The sequence below is a fragment of the Homo sapiens genome, chromosome 22 (assembly GCF_000001405.40).
Source record: "Homo sapiens chromosome 22, GRCh38.p14 Primary Assembly".
Lineage (NCBI taxonomy): Eukaryota > Metazoa > Chordata > Mammalia > Primates > Hominidae > Homo > Homo sapiens.
In genome coordinates, this window is record NC_000022.11 from 29,694,225 (window position 1) to 29,703,449 (window position 9,225).

Consider the following 9,225-nt stretch of genomic DNA (forward strand, 5'->3'; position numbering starts at 1 on the left):
CCTGGGAAACCAGGAGTAGAAGGGGTAAACTCTTCCTCATCTGCCACAGGCCTGCCTTGCCTCAGGCCACGTCACCTTACCCCAGCCATGTTGCCAGGGCATGAGGACTAAGATGCTTGCCCTGCCAAGCCCGGAGGGGATGAGCAGCCTCAGCTGGTGCCGCCACAGACAGCACACCACAGAGGTGGCTCAGGGACCTTGGTAGATGGGAATGTGAGAATCTATTAAAATAGGCAGGGATCTCCGGTCCTCTGTCAAGAGGCAATGCTGACGGCTTTTTCCTGCTGGCGTGCCTCTGCCCACCAGCCTTCCCCTTGCACATCCTCATTTGTCACCTCCTAATTTGAATTATTGGGCAAATCTGGCCGCTTATTTGGGACTGACAGCCAACTTCTTGAGCATCTATTTGAACAGCCTTCCCTTTCGCTCCCAGCCACCTTTGAGGTGAGTCCAAGTGGCAGGACAGGACCCTGTGTGACAGAGCGGAGGTCTTGTGCCCTCTCAGCTTCTTCTCTGCTTTCTTACAGCTCACCTTGCAGAGCGCCAAGTCCCGAGTGGCCTTCTTTGAAGAGCTCTAGCAGGTGACCCAGCCACCCCAGGACCTGCCACTTCTCCTGCTACCGGGACCGCGGGATGGACCAGATATCAAGAGAGCCATCCATAGGGAGCTGGCTGGGGGTTTCCGTGGGAGCTCCAGAACTTTCCCCAGCTGAGTGAAGAGCCCAGCCCCTCTTATGTGCAATTGCCTTGAACTACGACCCTGTAGAGATTTCTCTCATGGCGTTCTAGTTCTCTGACCTGAGTCTTTGTTTTAAGAAGTATTTGTCTTCCTTTGTCTAATGTGGGATTCCTGACTCCCTTCGTCCAAGGCACCGGTGTGTGTGTGTCTTGCACTCCAGAGCTGACCTCCACCGCCCAGCCTGGGAAGTCATTGTAGGGAGTGAGACACTGAAGCCCTGAGAAGCCAGTGCCATCATCCCCACCCCGCCCAGGGTTCCGGAACATTCATTCCCCCACCGGTGAGGACCTGGCATGCAGCGAAGCAGCCCAGCCCGGCGGATCCCAGGCCAGCACGCCTGCCGGCTTCTCATCGTCAGGGAGCCCGCCCAGAGCTCGTGACGAGCAAGTGCTGGGTCCCCGCCAGGCACCCCGAGGCGGCGCTCTGGCTGGCAGCTGGTGGGGAATAGGCAGGGCAGCTGTGGCTGGGGAGAGACTTTAGGCAGAAGCTGTGATGCAGGCTGACTGCCAGCCGAGGGGCTGGGTAGTGCCGTGCGGGAGCTGATGGTACAGGGCACTCGCTGTCCCCCTCCGGCCACCCTAGACCAGGGTCCGAGAGGCAGGCAGGAGCCACTCATGTCTTCCCCATTGCCCGACGCCCATAGACGCTCCTTCCTGTGTGGGGCTGGGGTACTCCCTGGTCGTACTGCAGTCAGCACCCGTAACCCGGCTATGACCAGGGATCTGTAAGCCCTGTGGCTCCACAGGTGCTGCTTCTCACTGGCCCAGACTCTGAGCTCCACCGGCCCAGTCTGCACGGCCCATCTGCTTCACCTTCCCTCCCAGCCACGTGCCAGTGGCCACAGCCCACTTCCCAACCCACTGTTGTACCCAGGCCTCACTTTGCTGTTGCCCTTGTCCCTCTTCGGGCCCTGAATTTTCTGTTCCCTGGGGGCCAGCCAGGGCCCTTTGTGCCCCTCCCAGCACAGGCCTGATGCAGGTGTCCACTCACAGGTGGCGCTCACCTAGGCTGTCACAGGACCCACCTCCATGCCAGGCAACAGAGGGCCACAGAACCACCCCCACGGCTCACTCCTTGGTCTGGGGCCACCTTCTTGCCCTTTCTTTTTTTTTTTTTTTTTTTTTTTCCGAGATGGAGTCTCTCTCTGTCACCCAGGTGGGAGTGTGGTGGCACAATCTCGGCTCACTGCAACCTCCACCTCCTGAGTTCAAGCAATTCTCCTGCCTCAGCCTCCCAAGTAGCTGGGACTACAGGCATGCACCACCACACTTGGCCAATGTTCTGTATTTTTAATAGGGACGGGGTTTTGCCATGTTAGCTAGGCTGGTCTCAAACTCACACCTGGGATTACAGGCATGAGCCACTGCACCCAGCCCCTTCTTGCCCTTTCTTTTCTCCATGGCTGATGCTGCTGTGGCCAGCCAGGGCCCTTGAGATCCTTCCAGTTTGGCTGTTATGCAAAGCAGGTGATTTGTCTTAATCAGATAAAAGATAGAGGCTATGGGGGCCTCAAGATTTTTGGAGAGCAGAGGTGGTCTCTGGCAATTCCATCTGGTTTTGAGAAACTTAGCAGCTCACAGAGCACAGAGATCCTGCCTTCTTCCTACTATCAGGCTGACCTAATGGGGTTGGGCTGCTCGGCAACTGCTTGGGTCACCTTGCCCCAAGGAAACCAGCCCTGGGTGCCACCCAGCCACTTAGGGTCTACAGGGTGGGACTCCAGACCTAGAGCGTAAGTATGGATGTTGTGGCCCTGTGTCTTCCTAGTGTGACCCAGCCAGGAGCGGAAGCTTCAGGCGTTTGTAAAGTGAGGTCTGGCTCTGCCTCCTCCGTTTTTTTTTTTTTTCTGTTTCTGTTTCTGTTTTTTTTTTGAGATGGAGTCTCGCTCTGTCGCCCAGGCTGGAGTGCAGTGTCACGATCTCAGCTCACTGCAACCTCCGCCTCCCAGGTACAAGAGATTCTCCTGCCTCAGCCTCCCGAGTAGCTGGGACTACAGGCGTGTGCCACCATGCCTGGCTAATTTTTGTATTTTTAGTAGAGATGGGGTTTCGCCATGTTAGCCAGACTGGTCTCGAACTCCTGACCTCAGGTGATCCTCCCACCCCGGCTTCCCAAAGTTCTGGGATTATAGGCGTGAGCCACCATGCCCGGTCTCTTCTCAGTCTTGAAGCCCATCCCTGGATTTCCACCAGGAGTTACTTTCCTCCTGACCTGTAAATTTGTTCTTTAACAATGGCTGCAGGTGGGAGCATATGGTGGTTTATAAAAACGCTGTCGGGCTTTGTTTCCTTCTTTAGCTGCCGTGTCTACTTCTGAAGTCTGGGAAGTGCCAAGCCACGCGGCCTCAAGGGAGCTGGCTGGTGTTTGAGCTGTGGCAGAAGCACCTGGGGCTCCAGGGAGCAGGCTGGGAACTGCAGGACCTTGCTCAGCCAGGAGCACTTCCCCCTCCTTGAGGCAGGAATACTGAGGTGCCTCCCCACAGATGGAGAAGGTGGAGAGGAGGATGGGCCTCAGGAGCATCTCAAGCCCCAGTAGCAGGAGAAAGAAAGAAAGAGATGCCTGGTTTTCACAGACTGGTTCCTGTGGCTGGGATGACTGCATCCTTTTTTTTTTTTTTTTGAGACGGAGTTTTTGCCTTTGTCGCCCAGGCTGGAGTGCAATGGCGTGATCTCGGCTCACCGCAACCTCCGCCTCCCGGATTCAAGCAATTCTCCTGCCTCAGCCTCCCGAGTAGCTGGGATTACAGGCACGCACCTCCACGTCCGGCTAATTTTGTATTTTTAGTGGAGACGGGGTTTCTCCATGTCGGTCAGGCTGGTCTCGAACTCCCGACCTCAGGTGATCTGCCCACCTCGGCCTCCCAAAGTGCTGGGATTACAGGCATGAGCCACCGCGCTTGGCCAGACTGCGTCCTTTTTAAGCGAACATTTTAGGGCCTGGGAGTTTGTCAAGTAAGGAAGTCTCAAGCCCAAAGAGCAGCGTCCTGACCATGGTGGTTTCATTACGAGCCCTTCTGCTGGCTCTCAGGCAGAAGCCCCACAGCACCGGGACCATTCATGAGGTCACTGCCCAGCTCATGATGTCCGTGAGGCTGTCCTTTTGGCCAGTAGCCGTGTGCAGCTGTGTGGCACAGATGGCTTCGTTCATCCTGATCAAGGCCCCACCTCAGCCACAGCAGTCCCCCCAACCTGTGTTGTCCACCCTATTATTCATGTACCTGCCAGGCCCTGCTAGATAGCACCCCGTGGCATTACATAACACTTCATGAGTGGCTGTGTCTTGTAATTTTGGGGACAGGTTTCTCTCTTTCCCTCTCTTTTTTTTGTCAAAAGCCCAGAGACTGACAACCAGCTGCAGTGTCTAAGTGTTCCTCACTGACAGGGTGGGGCCTCACCACCCCTGGAGGGAGCAGCGTTGGCAGGGAGACAGCCTGGCCCAGTGACCCTGGGCCCAAGCCAGCCCCTCCAGGGCTTTCAGGGAAGCGCCATCCATTTTCAAAGATGTCAAACGTCACTTCTTCCTGTAGGGCCCGAGTCCTGCCTCCTATCAGGGCCAGATCATAGAAGGCTATTTTCTATTCTGGGGAACGATTATAACTTAAATGATTGTTTTAATAAAAATTCTAAGCTGGAAAATACTTGCCTTGGGCTTCCTCAGTTTGCCTGTTGCTCAGGCCATTGAGGCGTCAAGAACACGGCTGGGTGGTGGGGCTGTCTTGTGGTTCTGTGGAGAAACGAGCCCTCTGCTGTCTCTCACTGCTTGGGCCTTCACCTCTGGCCCCTTGTCTTTGGTGGCAAAAGAATCACCTCCTTCCACAGACCTCTAATGACACCTTCGCCAGGGAACTGCCTCCCTCTTCCTGGGGCACTTGGGGGGTGGCAAGGGCCCTGCATGGCGTCCCAGCACTCCATTTCCTCTCTGTGGTCCCTGCCCATCCGTGATTTCAGACCAGAGAACTAGGGAGCTGGGCTGGGTGATCCTTCCAGACATTTCTGTTTTCGGCGTTCCAGGCTCTGGGGGTGCATGCAGAGCCCCTGGGGCCCAGGCGCTGTCTGCAGAGTAAATGAGGCGCAGCCACTGTCAGGGCTATGTGACATTTGCACTTGAAGTTGGAAATCACCACTGCAGAGCTTATAGTTTGGGTTTTGCTTCTGTTTTCTTAAGCAACAAAAGTCCTTTATTAAGACCAAAACTTCTATAGGATAACTCTGTCCCGAAGCACTGCAGCCCCAGTTGGAGAGTCAGACAGCACAGTGTGGCTGCCGGGACTTCTAAGGGACCCACTCGACACACTTGTCAGGACATACTTCAGGTTTCCATTGCACAAGCCAGTGAGGAAAACAGCCTATCAAAATACACAACGTCTTTCCAAAATGTTTTGAGTTATACATAACTTGTGTTTGTTTTTTTTTTTAGAAAGATGTTTGAAGTGGATAAACTAAAGAATATGAAAAGTTTTTTCTTTTTTCTTTTTTTTTTGAGACAGAGTCTCACTGTGTCACCCAGGCTGGAGTGCAGTGGCCTGATCTCAGGTCACTGCAACCTCTGCCTCCCCGGTTCAAGTGATTCTGCTGCCTCAGCGTCCTGAGTAGCTGGGATTACAGGCACCTGCCACCATGCCAAGCTAATTTTTTTGTATTTTTAGTAGAGACGGGGTTTCACCATGTTGGCCAGGCTGGTCTCGAACTCCTGACCTCAAGCAATCTGCCCGCCTCGGCCTCCCAAAGTGCTGGGATTACAGGCGTGAGCCACCGTGTCCGGCAAGAATATGAAAAGTTTTAACAATTTGTTGTTAGCTTTGAATATATAGAATTGGTCAACCTGGGCCACATAGAGAGACCCCGTGTCTACAAAAAAATTTAAAAATTAGCCAGGTGTGGCTGCACCTATAGGCCCAGCTTTTTGGGAGGCTGAGGTGGGAAGATCACTTAAACCTGGGAGTGTGAGGCTGTAGTGAGTCAAGATCATGCCACTACCCTCCAGCCTGGGTAACAGCGAGACTGTCTCAAAAAAAAAAAAAAGTGACAGAGTGAGACCATCTCAAAAAAAAAAGGTAACTAATTAGACTTTTTATTAGATGAATAATATAAACTCATTTTGCAAATGTAGATTGTTATTTTTAGTAATTGGAAGCAGTTTGATTTCCTCCGTAGTCTAAGCCAAAGAAAGCACTTTGAAAAATATTGGTCATTTAAAGCCGTCCAGGCAATATTTTTACCTAACCTTTCTATTAAAGACAACCCGACGCCCCCCCACCCCCACCAAAATAGTAAATGGGACCTGAGGTCAGAGGTCCCCGCTAAGTAGAGTTAGAATTACTAATACCAGAGTTCCAATGACTGATTCTAATGGTATTTTGGTATCGAGGAGATCAGTTGAATTCTTTGCTGTTTTTTCTAGTCTGTAGTGACCCTGCTGTAAATGCAAAGCGGGGGGGCCAGACCTCAGTGCTTCACTGTGGCATTTGCCGCCAGTCCCATCGGAGCCCCAAGTGGCTCATTCTGGCCTCCCTGCTAGCACTTCATTCTTTGCCTTTGGTCCTCGCCTGAGTGGGGAGTTCCTGACAGCTGTTCCCCAGGGCTGCCTACCCCAGAAGCCTTCGTGTGGCAGAGAGGATAAGGAGCCACCCACATATAATGAAGAGTTGGCAGTGAAACTCTGGGGGGAAAGGTATTGGCGAGAAGACTGCTGTGACTGTATCTAGTCCAATTTCTTAGCCGTCTGGGGAAGAGAAAGTCGGGCACCCGCATGTTCTCCGTCTCCCTTTCAGACAGCCCAGGCAGCGTCATCTCCAGCAGAGAGAGGGAGGCCAAGGGCTCCTCTCCCCCTCCCCTGCCAGGCCGTGTGGGGCTCCCTGGCAGCCTGTCATTACTGCATTATGGCAGGATCCTAGCCACAGCCCCAGCTCCGGTAGGGAGACCGCAGCTCGCTTCCAGAGAGATGGCTCTGGACCTCTGCGCCGTGATGGGAGCACCTGGGGAAAATTACAGGGCCGTTAATCTGCCCAGCAAGGACTCGAGCTGACTCGGAGAGGAACCCCCGCCGTGTCCTCTCCTGGTTTCCACTTGATGCCCATTTCTCACCAACTTGGCCCCAGAATAGCACCTGGCATTTTGCCTCTGAGCTGAAATCAAGACTTCTCTTGAAGGGCTCCGCAGTGGGAGCAGCCAGAGGCATCTCGCCCCTCCCCTAAGCCACACTTGCCCAGGGCAGAGAGGTGGAGGGCACCTGGCTCTTCCTTCCCCACAAGGGCCAGACCTTCCACCCCCTGTGAAGACAGTTGACAGTGAGGCCTCTGGGTACCCGGGGGATGTTGTCAGGATAACGTGAAAAACAGGAACAAAATGCACTCAGGTTTCTAAGAAAAGGGGTGTGGACCTGTCGCAGTGTTACCGTAACTTACAAGTAATAGACGCAGCTGGCCTGAAGAAAGGTGAAATCTCTACCATTAGCTGCAGGGGGAGCTGGGGAAACGGCACAGCTGAGAGGCTAAGAGCCCTCCCTGCCTCAGAACACAGACAAACCTGCGTTCCTGCTAGGCCACTGACCAGCCATGTGAGCCTACGTAAATTGTCCAGTCTATTGGGCACTGCAGTTTTCTTCACCTGTAAAATGGGAATTTTATAGGGTTTTGTGGGGATTACGAATGCCCAGAAAGCTCTAAGCACCTTGCCTAGATGTGAGTCACCACTTGGTACACGGTGGCTTTTTTTCTGATACTTCTTTTGGGGGCAGAGGGCAAGAGGAAGCAAAGGAAAGAGCCATAGTGACTCAGGGGATGTCACAGCTCAGAGGGATCAGGCCCACTCACGGCTCCCCTGTGGCCTCCATCCCCTCCACCTGCACCCTGAGCTTAATGAGCCTGCAGCTGGTCTGTTTGTCCAAGCCCATGTTTGCCCAGTGCCAGCTGCAAAGCCCGGGAAATGATAGATAACTCCGGGCTGGAGCTGCCTGCGAAGGATGTTCTCATTTTGTCCCATTAATACTGGCTGCTCAGGTCAATAATTGACTGGAGGCTCAGGGTGGGAGAGAACCAGGTGGGCCACACTGTGCACATGAGCTCTTCCCTGAGCCTGTGAGTACCTGGGCTGTAAAAACCCAACTGCAGACGCCAGGGAGGCACGGGAGTGACCTAATTTTCTCTTATCAGGCATAAGGAAGAAGTCCCATGGAGCCTTGCCCATTTCTGATATAAATAATGTCATTCCCCATCTGCCTGCTCAGGGAGGAAGGGGCAGCCTTTGATCTGAAGGAATTAAGTCGGTAAACAAAGCAAAGAAGGCTGCTGAGGTGTCCCAGGCAGGCACCTGCTGTGCCATTTACCCTGAGAGAGAGAGAGAGGAGTTAAATTTGGAGGAGTGGAGTGGACCGACAGGGACAGCCCAGCCTCAGGCCGGCCCTCCCCGGATCTCTGAAGTCTCCCTTTATCCCCAGCTGAGCCAGGCAGCGCCTCCCCAGGAACCCTGGCACACCCCTGCTGTGGCAAGCTGCGCATGGTGTCTCCATCCTCCCCAGCAGGGGCCCTCCTTGGGCCCTGGGGATTTTCAGCAGAGGATAATTCCCAGGGAATATATCTGAGAAAGTCAAGTGCTCTGGGATGAGCAGATTAGCCTGGAGCCCGGGGCTGGAGAGGAGCTCCACTCTGGGAGGACAGGGCCCTGTCTGTCCCAGCAGAAGGCAGCTCAATGGTCCAGCCTGCGCTTCAGGCCAGCTGGCTGTGGGCTCTGATCCCCTGCAGCTCTCCGCCTGTTGCTGTGTGGCCTTGAGTAAGTCCCTTCCACTCTCTGGGCTTCCATGCCTTGGCTATAGAAGGTCAGGTTTGGACCAGCAGAACTCGAGGCCCCCTTAGGTTCCAACTCCACAGACTGGTCCCCCGAGGTCCTCCAAGGCCATGTCAAGCCAGCTTCACCTTCCAAGGAGCCAAAATGGGAGTGACTGGCCCAGGATACCGCAGGAGTGGCTATGGCTACAGCCATGGCCGGGAGCCGGAGTGGAACCAGGTGCCCTGCAGGGACCCCAGCCTGGGGCCTGTGTTAGAGCTCCCACCACATCCCTCCTTTCTCTTGGACCCACTATCCTCTGGCACAAATTCGGGAGGGGCCACCATGCTGCCAGCCCCCGAGCTCAAGTGAAAGGCAGCAGGCGCCAGGGCGGGGATTGGCATGGCCACTCTGGGTTTTCCTCTTGAGCAACCAGGCCCAGCGCCTGTCAGCCCGGGTGGCAGAGGGGGGTGGCAGGAGCCGCAGCGTCGGCCGGGCCTGCTGTGACAGTTGCTCTGCCCCGAAACCCATGGGACCTCCCTTCTTTGCCCACGCCTTCATCCTTCCCCCTCCTCACTCGCCAGCCTTCCGCACCCAGCCCGAGTTCCTGAGTTCCTGAGGCTGAATCTATTAAGTCCTTCATATTAACCAGCAAAGGGGGAAACAACCCTCTTTCATCTTAACTGGAGTGAATTTGCATTAACACCTGGGGAGTTTTGTTTGCCT

At 54.5% G+C, this 9,225-nt stretch overlaps 1 protein-coding gene across 23 annotated transcripts in view; it reads left to right on the plus strand.

The window, feature by feature from the left end:
- The window catches only part of NF2 (NF2, moesin-ezrin-radixin like (MERLIN) tumor suppressor), a 95,045-nt gene extending 90,669 nt beyond the window's left edge, over nucleotides 1–4,376 (plus strand). For 20 of the 23 annotated variants that reach the window (NR_176267.1, NM_001407056.1, NM_001407053.1 and 17 more), the window contains one exon: nucleotides 528–4,374. Coding sequence is in view for 10 of the 23 variants with exons in the window: in NM_001407060.1 (NP_001393989.1) it covers nucleotides 528–585 (58 nt within the window). In the remaining 13 variants the exon portion in view is untranslated. Of the gene's footprint in view, nucleotides 1–527 lie in introns of all 23 variants that reach the window. The other 3 variants (NM_016418.5, XM_047441386.1, XM_017028809.3) reach the window with 1 other exon arrangement.